This window comes from Homo sapiens, chromosome 1 (genome assembly GCF_000001405.40).
Source record: "Homo sapiens chromosome 1, GRCh38.p14 Primary Assembly".
NCBI classification, from domain to species: domain Eukaryota; kingdom Metazoa; phylum Chordata; class Mammalia; order Primates; family Hominidae; genus Homo; species Homo sapiens.
The window spans coordinates 111,782,711-111,802,606 of NC_000001.11; the positions used below are offsets into that span (position 1 = coordinate 111,782,711).

Here is a 19,896-nt window from a genome sequence, read left to right on the forward strand (position 1 = left end):
TCTTCATTAGTTTCTAGAGATGAAAGATTCTCCTGTTCTTCTTTGTGGCACTTCTTTTAATCATATCTTACCCTGGGCTCTATTAAAGCAACAGATTGTCATATCAAATGTACTAGATCATTTAATCTCTTCCCACACAGGACAAAGAGGTTTGCAATGGATTTACATAACCATACCCAGAATATGAAATTTGGTGGGGCTCTATGGCTTGGTTTTGAGCTCTTGGGGGCTGGGGCTTGTGGCTTATACCTATTTTTATCTCTAACATCCAACACAGGGTTTCACACTGCACAGGTGCTCAAGCAAAGTTTATGATGGCCGAGGAAGGAAGAAGATCCTATGTGAGTTGGCTGGAAGGCCATGCTTATACTGCCACTGTAATGGGCTCAATCCTTGAGTGGATTGGTCAACTTCACCCTCTTCCATGGCCTTAAGAACAATGTGAGAGTTAAAAGAGAGCTTGGAGATCATCCAGACCAATTCAAAGACAAAAAAAAAAAAAAAAAAAAAGGAGGATGTGAGGGAAGTGACTTATCCAGGGAAAGGCAGTGGACGATCAAGACTTCAGCTCAGGACCTCCAACTTTCAGACCAAATGATGCTTCCAGAACATTCTCCTCCTCCTTCCCTGAATTTCCACCATCAGACAAGTTTCAAAATTTGAGCAAAGCCCAGGAGATTGCATTTTCAACAAATGTGGAGACTCCAGGGTTGGAGGAGAGGGGATCTGGAAGGAGAATGCTGCTACCCTAGGTACAGTTGCAGGTACCATCTATGTTCAAGCCAATACTTCTATCAATCCTTGGGAGGCCTCTCACAATTAAGCACTTTCTTCCTGTCTGGCTGATGGGTGCCTTTTAACCATGAGTATTTCTATCTTTTGCTGTTGGAGAGGCAGAAGGAAGAGAAAGAGAAAGAAATGGAAAGGCCAAAACATGGGAAATTGCATTCTGGGACATTTATTTCAGAGAAATTAAAACTTATGCTCACATAAAAACCTCTACATGATTGTGCACAGTAGCTTTATTTGTAATAGTCCAAAACTGAAATCATCCCTGGTGTTTCTCATCAGGCAAATAAACAAACTGGTACATCTGTACCATGGATACTACTCAGCAGAATGGATTACTTATACAGCAACTTGGATGAAAATCCAGGAATCATATAGAATGGAAAAAGCCAATACCCAAAGGTTACCTATTGCATGAATTCATTTATATAACATTTTTGAAATTAAAACATTTATAAATGATGGAAAAATAAATGGTTGCCAGGGGTTAGGGACAGGGCAGGGCTAGGGCAGAAGGTGGGGTTATGAAAGGGCAACCCACGGGATCCTTGTGATGTTGAAACTGTTCAGTCTCTTGACCGTGGCAGTGGATGCATTAACTTATCACACACACACACACACACACACACACACACACACACACACCAGTCCAAGTAAAACTGGAGATATCTGAATAAGATTGGTAGGTTGTACAATGTCCATATCCTGGTGGTGATATATAGTACTATTGTTTTGTAAAATGTTACCACTAGGGGAAACTGGTAGACAAACTTTACAAGAGATTGCTCTGTGTTATTTCTTACAACTGCGTGAGCATCTATAATTATCTCAATAAAACATTTCATTAAAAAAAAGAATATGGGTATGCACCAGAACTGGAGATGGGAACGAAATGCCCCAATCCAGATGTTCCTCTCTACCTGTCCACTGCCAGACCCTTATCTCCAGTTCACTTGGCTCAGAGGACACAGTATCTAAGGCAAATAGTAATAGACTAATCTTAGTAATAATCCCAAGCAAACCAGTCATGGGAAGAGGATGACGATATAGCTACTCCAGCTCCCAATTATGTGGTCTGGGCTGAGAACTATCATTAGTTTCCTTCCCATCCCATCTCTCCACTTTCCACCAAATCCTCTGGACCTACTTGCCTTGACCCATGGTGACAGACTCAATGCTGGAGCAGCCAGCATTTTTTTTCCCTCTTATAGGAAGCCCAAGGTGACAGACACAGAGCTGAGCAGCCTTGAGGAGAAACAGTATCCAGGCAAGGTGAAAACACTGTAAATATTTACTCTGATTTCAAGGGGAGAGAGAAGAGGGAGAGGGAAAGGGTCAGGGTGGGAGGGAGACCCATCTTTAGCAGCGAGAGGAAGGAAGAAGCCTGAGTTGCTCCTAGATTTTAATCACACAGGATGAGCTTTATAATGTCCTAGGGGAGAGCTGGGAGCACGCCTGTAATCCCAGCTACTCTGGAAGCTGAGGTGGGAGGATTCCTGGACCTCAGGAGTTTGACTCCATCCTGGGCAACATAGTGAGACCCCATCTCTAAAATAATAATAATAATAAATCAATTCCCAGGTGAAGTAAAGGTAGCTGTAGGAGCCACTGAGAACACAGCTGGAATGGGCTGTCACTGGTGTGTGCACAGCCGTGGGCTAGTGTGTGAGCTGAGGATTCCTGTGAACCTCACCTGCTCTGCCAGAAGCCTGTGTCAGCTCTAGCCCCTTGGGGGCAGGGCCACTAGAGGATCCCTGGCCCTTCAGGGTCTCTGGTTCCTGAATGTGGGAAGGAGATCCCAGTTTCTGTATAACAAATTTAGGCCCTATTCAAATTTGCTGCCTGACTTGAACAGGGAAAGAGGTAAGATTTCCATTTCTGGGATGACTGTCAGGGAACAGGAGGTAGGGAAACCCTGACCTTGGGTGAAGAGGTAGGAGATAGGTGTGTATGGGACACAAAGGATGACGGACAGAGCCAGAAGATAAATCTTAAGGTGGCAACTTAACAGACCAGGTCAGGATAAATAAAAGCAGAGGCAGAGGGGACAGCAGGGCAAGGAGCCAACCATAAAGGCACACAGAAGGTGATAGGCTGGAGGTGGGAACCAATTGGATTCACTACACAATTATATGTAAATTGTTATGTAATAATTATTATACATTTTGGAGCTAGCTTTCGTAACCTTTATAGCTTTGTGATGGTCGGCATACACAGATCTGTTCTGAAATTCTGGATTTCTTCCTCCATAACGACATTAACTTCCCTTTGAGCCTTTACACCCAAGGCAAGCCCTGCTACCTGGAGGTTATCCCTGCAAGCAGAAGGCCAGTAGCAGGGATTCTGTAGCAAGGAAAGAATCTGGCTGCAATGCATAGGGCCGACCACATAGTACGTGCTCAGTAAATGTTTGTGGAATAATGGATAAAAGAATAAAGTAAGGAGACAAAACCCCAAGCCTCCAAAAGCCAGTCTTTCAACAGTTCTCCTCCTGTCCGTTGTCCTCAGAAAGGCTCTGGCCATAACCCCTGGGGGCTGAGATGCTGCTGAAGGGGCACCACAGTTCAGCCCAGATCTGAAGACAATGAAAAACACCGCTTTCCCACTTCCCCAACACAGATATCCCTCTTCTGAGAGGAAACCTGGGGAAAGTCACTACCCAGGAACCTCACTGGCTAGATGCCTTAAAAATGCAAGTGAACAAGAGTTGGCTGAGTTGATGAGTTGTTCTAGAAACAAGATTGAGGGCTAGCTGGAAAAAGAGGCTTCTTTCTGAGCACCAAAGCCTTCAGACATTTTTCCTCATTGCATGGGCAAATGACCGTATTTTACCCTCTCCTGCCATTTTCAGCAGTGTGTATTGAACATAATCTAAATCTTTCCCCAGGACTGATGGTTAGTCTCCTGATCACCAACTGCAGTTGACTTCAGTGCCTTTGCCCTATGATATCTTGGAAATTCCTAAAGCCTGTTGTGCCATTTGTCCCTGAACTCAACGGCCTCAGGATGCTCTCCTTTCACAGTATTTATTTTTCTTTTCAACAAATTTATTTTTGCCACTGGGTTTTGTATAGGCTTTTATAGGATATTAAAAAGAGATTATGTTTCCTAGTAAGCTCTTGGCTGGGAGAGGGAGGAGTGCGGGGATGGCTGAGTGGCAGTGGCTGAGGGAGTGGAGGTGGAGCCAGGAGCCAAGGAAATTGCCAAAAAATGTCCAAAGGGGGATAATCAGCTTACAGATAATTGAGGGTTCAGTGCCTTTTGGAACTGACTGGGGCTGGAATTCAGGAGACTGGTGAGCAGGAAGGGACTGAAGCTACCTTACCTTGCAAAGCCAGAGGCCATCTGTGCAGTGATCCTGTGAGGAGCTCTAGTCCTGGCTCCCTGACTGGTGCTCCCCCGCATCCTTTACACTGCCCCCGCTTCCCTGCGTCTGAGGCTTACCTTTTGTGCCCTGCGTTTATCAGCTCTCTGATTCTGGTGGTAAATCCGGCTAAAGTTGGAAACAATCACAGGGACTGGCAGGGCAATGACCAGGACGCCACTCAAGGAGCAGATGGAGCCGAAGATCTTCCCTGCAATCGTCTTAGGCACCATGTCTCCGTATCTGAGAGAGGGAGAGAAACAGGGTGTAAGGGAGAGAGGGCCATTTGGGAAACAAGGCAGGCTTCCCTGCCAATCATTCACCTGTTTATTCATTCATTCATTCAGCAATTGCTTAGAGTATCTACTATGTGCCAGGTACTGTGACATGGACCTGGGGGTGAACAAGAGAGACAAGATCCTTATGTGCAGGGAGCCAACATCCTAACAAGACTGTAAACAATTAAGTGAATACATAAAAATATCATGTCTTTGTTGGTTCTACAAAGAGACTAGAGAGAGGTGCTGCATCAGGTGGTGGGAGTGTGGTCAGGAAAGGCCTCTCTGAGGAGCTAACATTTAAGCTGAGAGCTGAATGTAAAGGAGCCAGCCATGTAAAACACCTGGGGACAAGTGTGTGTGGTAGAGGAAACAGCAAGTACAGAGGCCTTGAAGTAGCAGGAAGGAGTTTGGCCTGATCTAGGAATTGTCAAAGGGTCAGCAGGACTGGACACCACAAGAGGAGGGTAAGGCAGGCAGGGGCCAGATCATGCAGCGTCTGACGGGCCATGGGGAGGAATATGGGTTTATCCCATTCAGTGAGGCGCCATGAGGAGTTTTAAGCAAAAGAGTAACAGAATCTCATTTATGATGATAACAACAAATAACAAACTCACCTATTCATGTAGATTTATAATTTACAAAGCACTTCTACATATTTACCTCACATAAGCCCCATGAACCCTGTGAACTTTGTATTCTTATCCCCATTGTACAGATGCAGGAACTGAGGCTGAGATAATTACATGGACTGCTCTCATTTGCTCAGCTGGGATTAAAAGCCACTCTTCTTGCTTTTGTCTATTTTCCAGTAGCCATAGCATCTCAGAGGAGGACCATGAGCTCTGAAGCTCAGCCCCTTAAAGCTGTGAAGCCACTTTGGAACTGTGCTGGCTCCTCTCAGAGCTTGGAGAAACTCTTTTAAGTACTTCACACCCTAGCAGCTGCCCTCTGGAACCAGGTTGGCCTGGATCCTACTCAGTCTTCGGCATGCAGGCCAGAGCCTCTGTCCCTCCAATCAATAAGATGCTTTCCACAGTGGTTAAGTGTTTAGTCTCCTCTTTATTGAGATAATTGAAAGGCCTTATTAAGCAAAGAGCTGTGATTACTCCTTCGGCTAAAGCCAGAAACACCATCTCCCCTGCCTCTGTGCCCTCTGGGTGTCTGGAGCAGAAACAAGCTTAGGATGACCAGGAATTGTTTCTGCTAAAATAGACTCAAAGTCATCTGTCCTGAGGAAACCACGGGGCTTGGGTTTCCAGAGAAGATGTGGAAGGGGATGGGGCAAGCTATTTCAGAAGTATGAACACCCAAGAACTTGGTGGAGGACATGGCAGAGGTAGACAGGTATTCGGTGAATGAATGAATGAATGATCTCACTTAAGCCTCTCAATTCCCTGTGAAGTAGGCTCCTGTTTTGAGACTGTCTTCCTTCTCCTTCAGTGTTCATGCCCTTTGCCCTGGCTCAAGATTTCCTGGACGTGCACTAGCATTAAGGCCTGTGCTAGAGCCTTCTAGATCTTTGCAGCTAGGGTTGTCTCCTCTGCCGTGGTACTCAGGAGAGGCCTCCAGGGAAGTGGTTGAGAACATGGATTCTGAATTTAGATAATGTGGGTTCAAGACTCACCCTGCTCCATAAAATAACCATATGATCTTGGGGGAATGTTACTCTGGGCCTTAGTTTCGTTGTCTGTAAAATGAAGATAATAACAGTAACCTAGATCATAATCCTATTGTGACATATACAGCTCCACAAACAATAGATACTATTACTTTTAGCTAGGCATTCTGAAAACCACAGTCTCTGTTGATGGGAAACTCTAAAAACACAGTTGGTTGTCCCAAGTTCAAATAGCCCCATTGATGAAGAAAAAGGGGCTGCCTCTGAGATATATCACCTTAGCTGGGATTTTCAGATGACACAACTGAAAGGGGGCCTGTGGGCACAGGGCTGTGGATGAAAATAAAGCATGGCAGGAGTGCAGAAGAACAATGCCAGGAAGGCTGCATTTCAGAGTGACCAAGGCTGATGAGGAATGCTAAGGACAACAGAAAGATTGCTTCATCCATATGAAGAAAGAGGGAGAAGGGAAGCCATGCCTCCTGCTGGGGCAGATGGTCTGCTAGTGACAGATGACAGTGAGAAAGCCGAACAATCCACTCCCAGGCGTCCTCTGCCTTCTCCACCGGGAATAAGGAGCTGCATCTTGGAGAGGCTGGAACAAATGCCAAAAAGAAGGATCCAGAGCTTAAAGTAGGAGACGGGAGAGCAGGCAAGTGTCCAGCTGAATTCAGTAAATTTACATCACAGGCCCACATGAATCCCACCCGGGAGACAGGAGGAATGTGCAGATGGGGTTGCAGAACCACTGCCCTGGATCTTTGAGAAATCATGGTGCAGCAGAAAATTACCAAGAGACTAGAGATGGAAAACGGCTGTATTGAATTTTTAAAGAAGGCAAAAGGAGGTCTGAGAAACCACAGACCAATAGGCTTGGTATCTGTAAATTGTGCCATCAAATTGCTGGCAGAATTTGAGAGCAGATTATTAAGTAGACAGCTTGTGAATACTTGGAAAATAAGCTGTATTGGTTCACTAGGCACACATCTTGCCAAATTAACCTTATTTCTTGTTTTGACAGTGAGGTTAACTGGTTGGTAGATCAGGAGACTGCTCCAGACCTATTGCATCATGATTTTAACAAGATGTGTTCTTGTCCCAGTTCTTTATACCCTTGACAAGCTGGAGGAGTGTGGTGTGGATAGCAGTGTGGTTAGCAGGGTTTGCACAACCATCTCCAGTCTTCTGGCACTTCTCAAAGATTACCAACTATGGTCCTATGCCAGCAAAGGAAGTTCATGGTTTTCATGTTAAAATGTCTCCTTTAATGAAAAAGTAAATAAGTAAATGAAATAAAGAATGGATCTCAAGTTAGGTCTCCAGTGGTATGTTCCGGAATTTTTCAACAACTTATAAAAGCCAGAGGGAGGCAGCATGGCCTAATAATTAAGAGAGGACACTGGAGTCCAACCTGGGTTTGAACCCTAGCTTACATTAGTTACCAACTAGTTAAGTGACCCTGGGGCATTTATTTAACCTGAGCCTCTATCACTTATAAAATGGGTTTTATATCCCCAGGGTTGTTGCGATAATTAATGAGATAATTCAAAAGAAACACTTAATTCAGTGTTTGAATAACTGTAAATTGTCTAGAATTAGCCAGTGTAGTGGGCACCTATTTTGTCTGCTGACACCCCAATAGGAACTGTGTCCCTCTTTCCCATGATGATGTAAACTGTCCAGATAAGCTGCCATATTTCCCATGCCCCAATGCCCACTTGCCACAGCTGGTGAGTTCAAAATAGGGCATCTCACCCAAGCTGAACCAATGACTTCCTTTCCTGGATTTATTTTTTAAAAGCTTTACTGAGACACAATTTACATACCATAAAATCCAACCATTTAAATTATGCATTTCAATGGTTTTTAATGTATTTAGAGAGTTGCGCTCACATCACCGCAGTTTAATTTTAGAGCACTTCATAACCCCTAAAAGAAATGTGTACCCATTAGCAGTCAGTGATCATTCCACACCCCACCTCTCAGACTTAGGCAACCACGAATCTACTTTCCGTCTCTATAGATGTCCCCGTTTTGGACAATTCATGTGAATGGAACCATATATGTGGCTTCTCATGTCTGACTTCTTTCACTGACTGTGTTTTCAAGGTTCACCCATGTTGTAGAATGTATCAGTACTCCATTCCTTTTTATGGCTGAATAACATTCCACTGTCTGGGTAGACCACATTTTGTTAATTCACTCATCAGTTGATGACATTTGGGTTGTTCCCACATTTGAGTTATTCTGAATAATGCTGCTATGAACATTTGTGTACAAGTTTTTGTGTGGACACGTTTTCATTTCTCTAGGAGTCATACGGTAACTATGTTGAATAGTTTGAGGAACTGCCAAAATGTTTTCCAGAGTGGCGGTGCCATTTTACATTCCCACCAGCAATGAATGAGGGGTCCAATTTCTCCTTATCTGAGACAACACTTGTTATTGTCCGTCTTTTTATAGCTATCCTGGTGGGTGTTATCTCATTGTGGTTTTGATTTGGATTTTTCTGATGGCTGATGATGTTGAACATCTTTTCCCCTTCCTTGGACTTTTACGTTAGGGACCAGATCAGTCTCTTTCAAAGAAGCCGATGCTGCAACAAGCAAAGCTCTGGAGCTGTTGGCAGCCATGCTGTCTGCCATGGGGAAAAGCGGGATTGCAGTCGGGGAGGAAGAAGGCTGGCACTAGCAGGAGATGCGTGATGGAAAAGACAGTGATGGAGCTGGAGTTCCTGTTCTAATTCTTACCGAGGACCAGCTGTACCCCCGACTTTCCTGTCGCTTAGCTGTTCCATCCTTCCTTTGACTCTGCTCACTAACAAATTACTGTTTTCGTTTAACCTTTTTTCATTTAGATCCTGTGGTAGCGATGGTGATGAGGCTGCTACTGGTGATTGTTTGAAAGTAAGTTCCTCACATTTCTAAATGACAGAGCTACTATGAATTGAGGTCTTTAGGAGTCAAAAGGATTTTAACAGGTTGTAATTATGGGTGAAACCAACCAGATTAATTTTAACAAAGATAAATGAGAACACCAGCATTTTTATTCAAATAATCAATGACGTATAGCTGATGGGAAGGACCTGGTTTAAAAAGAGTCTCTGTTAAAAATCACCGGGGAATTTAACTTCAACATCATCCACCAGTATAAAGAGGCTGTTAAAAACCTAATGCCATCCTTGGCTGGATTGATGGGAGTGCAGTGTCTGGAAAAAGGGAGTGGGTGTCGTACTCTGCTCCTAGATGCAGACCATTTCTAGGCTGCTGTGTCGAGTTCCAGGCACTATATAGTCTATAGGACACTGATTAACTGGATCATGTCTAGAGAAGGGAGGCTGGGATGGTGAACTGTCTGGAATTCCTCTCAAGGAAATCAAAGGAATGGGGACGTTTGGCCCGAAGAAGAGGAGTTGGGGAATGGAAGAATGGAAAGGAACAATGTACCAGAGCCTGTGCTAGGAACTTATCTGCATTAGTGGGTCTCACAGTAACCCACCCTATCAGGTAGGGTTAACCCACGTTAGGGATGAGGAGGGAAAGTCCAGAGAGGACAGGAACTTGTTCAAGGTCACTCAGGTAGTCAGAGGCAGAACAACTGGGGTTAGAGCAGAGATGTTTTCATGCCTCTGCTCTTTCCGTCATATCCTGCTCCTCCCAGGGTCAGGGAAGGACAGAAGGGGAAGTGAGGGTGGGGCTAGAGAGAGGATGGCTGTGGAAAAGGGCTGTGAGGAGTCAGCGGGAGCTTAGCCCCTTCTCTCCACCTCCGCTCAGTAGCAGCAGCACAGCACAGTGGTTAAAAGCGTGGTCTCTGAGTGTCAGGCTACCCAGGGCAAATCCTGGCTCTGCCACTTGTTAGCTGGGTGACCTTGGCCATGATACTTAAATCCTCTGTCTTCAGTTTCCTGGCATTGATCAATTAATAGTACCTACGTCACAGGGTTGTTGTGAGGGATTGCATGAGTTACTTTTTGTGAAAGCTCAACCTGGCATATAGGAAGAGCTTTATTTATAAGTGTTTATTAAATAAACCCAGGGTCCAGACCACCATACTTTCTAAACTGGACTTCTGCAAAAGTCTCTTAACCAGAATTAATTCTCACTTCTACTTTTGTTCCCTTTATATATATAAAATTATATATATTATAATTATAGATATGTAATTATATATTATTTTATATATAAAATAATACCAATTTTTGAGCTCAAGTGATCCTCCCACCTCAGCCTCCTGAGTAGCAAGGACTGCACGTGGTTGCCACCATGCCCAGCTGATTTACTTTTTGTAGAGGTGGGTTTCACTATGTTGCCCAGGCTGGTCTAGAACTCCTGCCCTCAAGTGATCCTTCTATTTTGGCCTCTCAAAGCACTGGGATTGCAGGTGTGAGCAATCACACCCAGCCAGAAGCATATTCTTTTTTTTTTTTTTTTTGAGACAGAGTCTCGCTCTGTTTTCCAGGCTGGAGTGCAGTGGTGCGATCTCGGCTCACTGCAACCTCTGCCTCCTGGGTTCATGCCATTCTCCTGCCTCAGCCTCCCAAGTAGCTGGGACTACAGGTGTCCATCACCACGCCTGGCTAATTTTTTGTATTTTTTTAGTAGAGATGGGGTTTCACTGTGTTAGTCAGGATGGTCTCGATCTCTTGACCTCGTGATCTGCCCGCCTCAGCCTCCCAAAGTGCTGGGATTACAGGCGTGAGCCACCGCGCCCGGCCAGAAGCATATTCTTAAAATGCAAATCAAAGCATGTCATTTCCCCTGCTCAAAGCACTTCAATAAATGTTTGTTGAATGTATGAGTTAATGAGTAAATTAACTCAATGTTGTTGCAAAGACTACATGCCTATTACACAGTAAACACTCATTAAATGGCAGCTAATTATGAGTGTAATGACCGTGGTGTGCAGGGCCCTTTATCCCATGGTCCCTCCTGGGGCCCACCTGGGCAGAAGACTGAAGTAGGGGAGCTAATGGTGATTCTCTGAGTCCTAATGGCATTTATGGCCTATTTTCTCTGTGGAATTTTGAAGAAAGAAAGGGTAAGAAAAGAAAAAGCAGAAACAGTCATGGCTTAGAAAAAAAAAATTTAAACCCAAAGCGTTATTTCCTTTTTGTCTTCCTCTGCTCATGCAAATAACGACTCTCCTCTTCTCTCTACCCTGGCTTTGTGGGTAGGGATAGTAAGGGACGAGAAAGCCCTTCCTGGAGGTGACATCCCAGGTACAGGTGAGCTGTGGTGCCCAGCCCAGAGTTAGGACTCACACTCAAACCCTATCTGGGGCCAGTGTGGAGGCAGCTGTCGCCCTGAGCAGGTGGGGCTCAGGGACTCTGCTTTGGTTGCTCTCTCTCTCCCAGCACATCCTCAGTAATCCACAGTAATGTCTGGACTGAGGCAAAAGCAAGGAAGCTTAACCTCCTAATATGGAAGGCTAATTAATTTGTATTAGGGCTTAGGGATAATTAAACTTTTTATCTGAACTTAAGCTGCACAAACCACCTGACTTGTACAATTAATTGCTCCCTTCATTTCTTCCTCCAGGTGCCAAGAGATAAGTGCAAGCCAAGCTCCCCCATCCAGTTTTGCCTGCCTCTCAGGTGGGGGCACGGCTGCCTGTGTGGTGGGGAGTCCATTCTTTACTGGAGACCAGGGCACTGGCCGGTTAGGGCCCAGCTGCTGGGAGCTCAACCAGGGAGACACATCCTCAATGAGTTTCTGCAAGGATGATGTCTCAGCCTCACTGCCACACCCACTGCTGCACCTATCTTCTCCACTGGGATGCCCCTGAACTTGGCTTCCTAGAGCCTCAGTGTTGGGGATGGGGATGGGGCACAGAAGCTGTCCTGTTGGGTGGGACCAGGGTGAGGAGAGTTCTTAGAGCAGACTGGGCCACCATAGTGTGTTCCAGGGACTCAGACCTCTGTGGCTTCCTCCTTGTCCGGGGGCAAAAGACAACAGTAGACCATCATGGAAGACACCAAAAATACCAGCCAGGGCTGAGTTCATCCTGTGACAAACACCTGTGCAGCCTCTTTTCATGTCCAAATCCCCTCCCATGAGTAGACACTATTATTATCCCCATTTTGCAGATGAGGAAACTGAGGCACAGAGTGGTAAGTAATACGCCCAAGGTCACTTGGCTAGCCAGCTGCAGAACTGGGGCACAGACCAGGTCCCTTTGATTCCAAAGTCAAAGCATAGCTCCTAGTTATCTGGCCCAAAGCTATGGTTTCTGGGGAGCCAACATGGAAGGCAGCAGTCCTGGTAGAGAGCAAGGGAGGAGAACACTTCAGAGGCGACCAGATCTAGGGCATCAGCCTAGCCACAATTCTACAAAAACACTTTAGCCCTATGTTGTCAAGTCTCAAGGTGGGAGACTTGGGAAATGAAATGAAACCCCATATCACCTCTCCTTTCTACCACATGCACCCCCTACCCCCAACACACACTTCTGCTCGTGTCTCTGCAGCTGGGCACTCTCCTTGGCTCACCTGCAAAGTGAGCCCCAGCAGTGAGCCAGGAACCAAAAAGATAGGATGGCTTTTAGGAATCTTGAAGTTCCTCTGAAGACACCACCTAGGGGTGGACCCAGACGGGACAGATGAGGCTCAGAGCAAGGTAATCTAATAATAATCACAGTGGCAATTCAGTAATAATTTATTTTTATTTAGCATAAGTATGGGCCATTTAATTATCATAAACTTACAAGGTACTATTAGCCCCATTTTTGAGATTAGGAAACTGAAGCTCAGAGAAGTTAAGTAACGTGCTCAAGATCATCGGCTCATTCAAGCCAGTGCTCCACATCAGGCTTGTCTGACTTCAGAGCGTTCTGCTTTCTCGCTGGAGGAGGAGAGGAATGAGCTGAAGACCTGGCTAATCCACATGAGAAAGAACAGCCTCTTTGTGACAGAACGATTTATAATCCTTTGGGTATTTATCCAGTAATGGGATTACTGGGTCGAATGGTATTTCTGTTTTTAGGTCTTTGAGGAATTGCCACACTGTCTTCCACAATGGTTGAACTAATTTACACTCCCACCAACAGTGTATAAGTGTTCCTTTTTCTCCACAACCTCACCAGCATCTATTATTTTCTGACTTTTTAATAATAGCCATTCTAACTGGTGTGAGCTGGTATCTCACTGAGATTTTGATTTATATTTCTCAAATGATCAATGATGTTGAACTTTTTTTCCTATGATTGTTGGCCGCATGTATTTCTTTTGAAAAGTGTCTGTTCATGTCCTTTGCCCACTTTTTAATGGGGTTATTCGCTTTTTTGCTTGTTGACTTGTTTAAGTTCCTTATAGATGCTAGATATTAAACCTTTGTCGGATTGCATAGTTTGCAAACATTTTTTTCCCATTCTGTAGGTTGTCTGTTCACTCTGTCGGCAGTTTCTTTTGCTGTGTAGAAGCTCTTTAGTGTAATTAGATCCCATTTGTCAATTTTTGCTTTCGTTGCAATTACTTTCGGCATCTTTGTCATGAAATCTTTGCTTGTTCCTATGTCCGGAGTGGTATTGCCTAGGTTGTCTTCCATATCATAAAGACACATGCATGTGAATGTTCATTGCAGCACTATTCACAATAGCAAAGACATGGAATCAACCTAAATGCCTATCAATGGTAGACCAGACCAAAAAAAAAATGTGGCACATATACATCATGGAATACTATACAGCCATAGAAAAGAATAAGACCATGTCCTCTGCAGGAACATGGATGGAGCTGGAGGCCATTTTCCTTAGCAAACTAAGTCAGGAAGAGAGAACCAAATACTGCCTGTTCTCACTTTTAAGTGGGAACTAAATGATGAGAACACATGGACACATAGAGGGGAACAGCACACACTGGGAACTATTGGAGGGTGGAGGAGGGAGAGGATCAGGAAAAATAACTAATGAGTACTAGGCTTAATACCTGGGTGACACAAGTTTACAAACCTGCACTTGTACCCCTGAACTTAAAGTTAAATAAAAAACAAAAGAACAGCCTTGAGACAATGGAGAAACTTTCAAAGTGGCATGAACCTAGAAACCCTGCTGGGAGGTTCTCTGGGAGATGTTTCCTAAGCTCTGCCAGCAGAGAGTCCTGCGAAAAGGGGTGGGCGACCCTTCCAGATCATTGCTGTGGTTTGCTGTGGCTTGTAGAGTCACAGCCAGTCACAGCGGCAGGCTCCTGGCCAAGATCACTTTACTACTGTTGGCCTGTGGCAATAATCTTGTCTTGCCACCTCAATGGCTGTCCTGGGTGACAGAGCTGTTCTTCTAAACCAGTGGTTCTCAAACTTTAGTGTGCATCAGAATTGCCTGGAAGGCTCGATAAAACATAGATTGCTGGGCCCCAATCTCAGATTTCTGATCCTGTAGCTCTGGAGTGAGATGTGAGAATCTGCATTCTAAGTTCCTAGGCATCACTGATGTTGGTGATCTGGGGACTACTGCTTTAAATCATCCTCTTTCCATAGGTCACAGATCTGTAGACTCATAGCATGTCAGCGGAAAGGGGTCATAGCAACCAGCTTCAGACCAGTCATGCGTACATGAGGAAACAGACAAAGTCAGACATCGGGTGGGAGATCCTGCCTGTTCATCCAGAGGGATTCCCTGCGCACTGTCTACTCCACCTACCCATAGCCCCTCGCACTGGCCAGTACTTTCCCCCCCATCCTCCTGGATTGATGAACTCATCAAACATCTGCTGGGTGTTTGTTAGGACTGGGAATACAAAGCTAAATAGATAGGTATGTCCTCTGCCCTCAAGGAGCTTATGATGTTTATAGGGAAGACAGACAAATAAATCCTGATGATGGTCCAATGTCACAACACTACAAGAAGGATGTATGCAGGGTCCTGTGTGAGCACAAAGGAGGGGCCTCTAAATCAAACTGGAGGGTGGTCAGAGGATCTCTTGGAGGCAGAAGCACTGGCTGACTTCTGAGCTGTGAAGGAAGAACTATGAGAAATTACTGGCTGGAGTAAAGGGTAGGTGGGAGATGAGGCTGGAGGGGTAGTCACATGAAGATTCTTCTGGGTTAATCCAGGAATTTGAACTTCTTCCTGAAATCAGCAGATTTCCAGTGAAGGATTTTAAATGATAGGAAAAAATATTCATCTTTGAAAGATCACCTTGAAAGCAGTGTGGTGGATGTATTGGATGGGGATGAAAGTAGAGACAGGGAAACCAGTTAGCAGGCTACTGCATCAGTCCAGGCAGGAAAGGCCTGAGCCAAGGCAATGACACTGGGGATGGGAAAGAGAGGACAGATAGGTACTTATTGTACCTATTCGTCCTTTTCTGTTGGGCTTAGTAACTGACTCACTGTGAGGGTGCAGGGGAGAATCTTGGGGTGAGGCTCAGGCTTGGGAAGTGGGGCAGCCCCTTCCATCTCTAGCGAAGCTCCCACCCTTCCCTTCTTTCTATTGTCACATGCTTCTGCCACACTGTATGCATCTGTGCTCCCATATGCACTGGGCTCCTCCATGACTCCAAGCTTCTAACCAGGCCTTTCTCTCAACTGGGAATGGCCCTCTCTCTCTCTCTTTGCTAGGTAACTCAGACTCATCTTTCCAGATGCTGTTCAAATGTCACCTCCCTGGGCTTTCCCTGACTTCCCCAGGCAGAGTATTACCTATTCCTGTCTTTCCACCTTGGTTGGAGCACTTACTCCTTTATGCCCTGACATACCTCCCCAAAATGTCTATTTCCCCTATTGAAATAAGAGCAATCTGAGGACAGGGCTTTCTATCTCTGGATCCCTGGTGCCTGACATGCTGCACGATGCCAAGTAGGGACTCAATTGTTCATGAGTGAATGAGAAGGAAAGCAATCCCCCTGGTGTGTGTTCCATGGACTGGACTGGCTTCTGGGATGGACTTCATGAATCAAACTGCAAGCTCCAGGAGAAGAGAGGCTGTATCCTTGGTACCTAGAACCATGCCTGGCACAGGATGGGCACTCAAGACATCTGTTGAATGAGTGAATGAATTATGAAAAGATTATCGGTGGAACTGCTGACTCGGCATACTGGATCATCAGAGGGCCTTTCTGCTGCAAAACACTTTTATCCTGAATAAAGTCTACTTTTTGATGCATTGTATGATTCACTTGAAGTAGGGGAATCTATCTCACCTCCAATAAAAAGGAACAAATCTAAGGCCACATCACAGCTGGGAGGAGTCAGCAGTAAGCAGAGGGAGGAACATTTGCTTTGAGGTATACACCAACCGTAACCAGGTGATCCCTGATTTGTCACTGGGAGATGGAACCTTGGGCTAAAAGCAAACAGAGAGAGCTTTAAGTTGGGCCTCGAAATGGGCTGAAGTCATCCCAAGATGGTAGTACTACCTGACTTATGAGCAAACCATATTTAAATCCTGTCCAGAGGTAAACATTCTTAACCTAGGGCTTCAGGATTCCCATAGATTAAGATCAAGTAAAATAAATCATAAAAAGCAAGCAACCAAGAGTGAGTCAACCAAACAAACAAGCAATAGATTTAGACCCTCCCCAAACACTTCAGGTACTAGAATTGATAGATACGGAACAGTCATGTATGAAATGTTTTCTAAAAATAAAGCATAAAATCACAAAGATTAGCAAGCAACAGAACACTATCAGGAATCACAATGCAGATGTGAAAAAGAAACAAATGGAGTTTCTAGAAGTGAAAGAGTTAAATGTTAACATTATTACTGAGTATAATGCCTTAAACCAACTGGTTATTCTTATTGGGCATCTTCTAAAGTGGATGTCCTCTTCCCAACCTAATTCTTGGGAACCCTCCTGTTGTCACTTGGCCCAAGAAGTTCTTGTACCTGAGTCTATTCCTATTAAGACAAGAAGGAGGGCAATAAAGACCAGAGAGCTGCCTGCACCAGCCCTGTCACCAAAAGAGGTGATCACTGTAGCCCATCGCAGAGCGCAATGAAGTCTGGTTCTTGTAGAGACATAATTCCTTTAGCCTGCACAGCTCCTAGGAAAAACACACTGACATGGATGAATACAGAGAGTGTGAGCAGACTGCAAACCAGTGTTAAAACGAGACGGAGATGGAAGAGCAAATGCTAGCCAGCCACCTGTGGGATAAAAACCAGGAAAGGAGATGTCATCAACTTCACTACCGGTCTCCTGTCAATAGGAAGATACTAAAATGAAAATTGGGCCCCCCCGCCTGGCCAGCCGCCCCGTCCGGGAGGTGAGGGGCGCCTCTGCCCGGCCGCCCCTACTGGGAAGTGAGGAGCCCCTCTGCCCGGCCACCACCCCGTCTGGGAGGTGTGCCCAACAGCTCATTGAGAACGGGCCAGGATGATAATGGCGGCTTTGTGGAATAGAAAGGCAGGAAAGGTGGGGAAAAGATTGAGAAATCGGATGGTTGCCGTGTCTGTGTAGAAAGAAGTAGACATGGGAGACTTTTCATTTTGTTCTGCACTAAGAAAAATTCCTCTGCCTTGGGATCCTGTTGATCTGTGACCTTACCCCCAACCCTGTGCTCTCTGAAACATGTGCTGTGTCCACTCAGGGTTAAATGGATTAAGGGCGGTGCAAGATGTGCTTTGTTAAACAGATGCTTGAAGGCAGCATGCTCGTTAAGAGTCATCACCAATCCCTAATCTCAAGTAATCAGGGACACAAACACTGCGGAAGGCCGCAGGGTCCTCTGCCTAGGAAAACCAGAGACCTTTGTTCACTTGTTTATCTGCTGACCTTCCCTCCACTATTGTCCCATGACCCTGCCAAATCCCCCTCTGTGAGAAACACCCAAGAATTATCAATAAAAAAATAAATTTAAAAAAAAAAAAAAAAAAGAAAATTGGGATATGGTTATTTGTGGTGATGCTTCCTAAATGTCCAGTCAGTTGTTCCCTGCCCTATGGATGCATTGGCTCAGAGTGTGGTCTACAAGGACATTTGTACTTTGGAGGGGAAAAGTAGAAGGGCTGAAGCTCAAGAGGCTGTGAAGCCACTTGCCCCCTGCCTAGTGATGAGCCAGCCCCTCAGCTCTGGAGAGAGCACACGCCCTGACCTGGGGCATCCCTGGTTGGGGCTGGGAGCCATGCTGGCAGGTAGAAAGCCCAAGCCCAATTATGAGAGGCATGCTTTTACAGAGACTTGGCCTTGCTCAGTCCATTCTTCCCAATCTCAGATCCCAGGAAACTTCTAATTTATCTCTCCAGGCCTTGAGAGTCAGGGTTCACAAGAAAGAGACATGAGGAGCAGCACATGTGTCTGGTCAAGCGGTGGAGCCCTTGTCCCTCAGGCCTGTACCCTGTTTCTCTTTCTCCGTATGTTCACACAAAAGCCTTCTCCCCGGGGCTGCTTCTCAGCCTTCTGCCACCCTAGGCTAGCACACATTCCTCAGAAAGGGATGAGCTGCCTCAACTGCACAGTAGAGCAACTGCCATGACTAGCCCTGGTTAGTGCCAAAGTGGGCGTGTAAGGCAGAAGGGAGGGCTGGATGCTGGGAGAAAGCGGGAAGGTGGGAAGGGCTCCATGCAGTCTGTGCAGCACAGGCAGCATTGGCCAGAGTCAGACACCTTTATGCCCTGACGTAGCTCCCAAAAATAGCACAGCTAGAGGTGGTGAAGCGTCAAAGTGGAAGTCCACAGAGGTGACAGGGAGCTAGGACACAGAAGCTGGGCTGGTCAACCAGACAAACTCTTATGGCCAGAGTCTTCCCTGAGGTTCAGTCCTGCCTCTCCTCGCACACCCCTGATTCTGCCTTCTGTGGCTCCAGCTGGGACGTGGTTGAGGTAGTGACAGGTGGGAGGTAGAAGTAGGCAAGAGGCAAAACGGTAGCGGTAGTGACCAGAGGAGTCTTAGCCCCAGGCCAGGCCAGATTCAGTGCTTAGCGGTTTGGCCAATTGACCCAATATATGGCCACCAGGTGTCCCCCACTCTTCAGAGCACTCTGCTCTCCACTGCTCATAGGGTAAATCCAGGTTGCTCCAACTGCGCTTTGCAAATCTGATCTGGCATTCCCCACGCTGTGCTGCCCTCCATCTTGGGCATCCTCTCTTCCCTTTTTCACCCATCCTCATCCTCCGAGAACCAGAAGTTATCCCTCTTCCATTAAGTCTCAGACTCTTACAGGTCTTGAAGGATTGTACAGGGTGGCAGGACCTACACCCACGTGGCACAGGAATCCTCTCCACGGCGGCCTTTCAGCCTACTGGTGAACTTGCCAGGCACAGGCTTTGGAGCCAGACAGACCTGTGCAGAAGTCCTTGCTCTCCCACTACCCAGCTGAGAGACCTCAAGCAGGCACAACTTCCTGGGCCTCAGTTGACTCATCTGAACAATGGAATAGCAATAAACTACCTCACAGGGTTGTTATAAAAATCAAGTCTGTAAAAGCATTTCATGATCTGTGCAGTGGCAGACAGTGCTTAGTTCTTCTGCATGAAACAACTTGGGCCATGGTTGGGCTGCTCACATCATCGGCTTTCCTGTAACTTGCACCTGTGAGTGCCACTTCTGCCATTGGGAACTCCAGAGTACATCTGTCCCTCTGTCAACACCACAGCCTTCCTCCAAGCTCTGAAAGCACCGCCTGCTCCTCATCTCATTTGGCTGCACTGCCAGTGGCTGTTTCACACTTGCCTGCCCCCGCTCTGGCAGGCCCTAAGCTGGGTACAAGACAATGTCATGCAAAGAACGTAGGCCTTGGAGTCAGAAGTCCCTGGCCTGCAAGTCTGCATCTTCCTCTCTCTAGTTGTGTGACTTCGGGGCAGCGACTTAGATCTCTAAGCTTTAGATCCTTCAGCTGTAAAATTGAGAATAATGTCTCCCTACAGGGAATGGTTAATATGCACTCACAGACCCCACAGTGCAGCACTGACAA

General features: G+C 45.9%; 1 protein-coding gene and 1 long non-coding RNA gene across 7 annotated transcripts in view; one reads left to right on the forward strand and one right to left on the reverse strand.

Annotated features, from left to right (window-relative positions):
- Positions 1–19,896, reverse strand: part of KCND3 (potassium voltage-gated channel subfamily D member 3) — a 219,007-nt gene that overhangs the window by 12,049 nt on the left and 187,062 nt on the right. For all 6 annotated transcript variants that reach the window (NM_001378970.1, NM_001378969.1, XM_006710629.5 and 3 more), the window contains exon 3: positions 4,234–4,396. In NM_001378970.1, the coding sequence (NP_001365899.1) occupies positions 4,234–4,396 (163 nt within the window). The remainder of the gene's footprint in view (positions 1–4,233; positions 4,397–19,896) is intronic.
- On the forward strand, positions 4,393–13,392 carry LOC124904312 (uncharacterized). The gene is made up of 2 exons (XR_007066392.1): positions 4,393–8,958; positions 11,590–13,392. It is a non-coding gene; the product is annotated as an uncharacterized LOC124904312 (long non-coding RNA).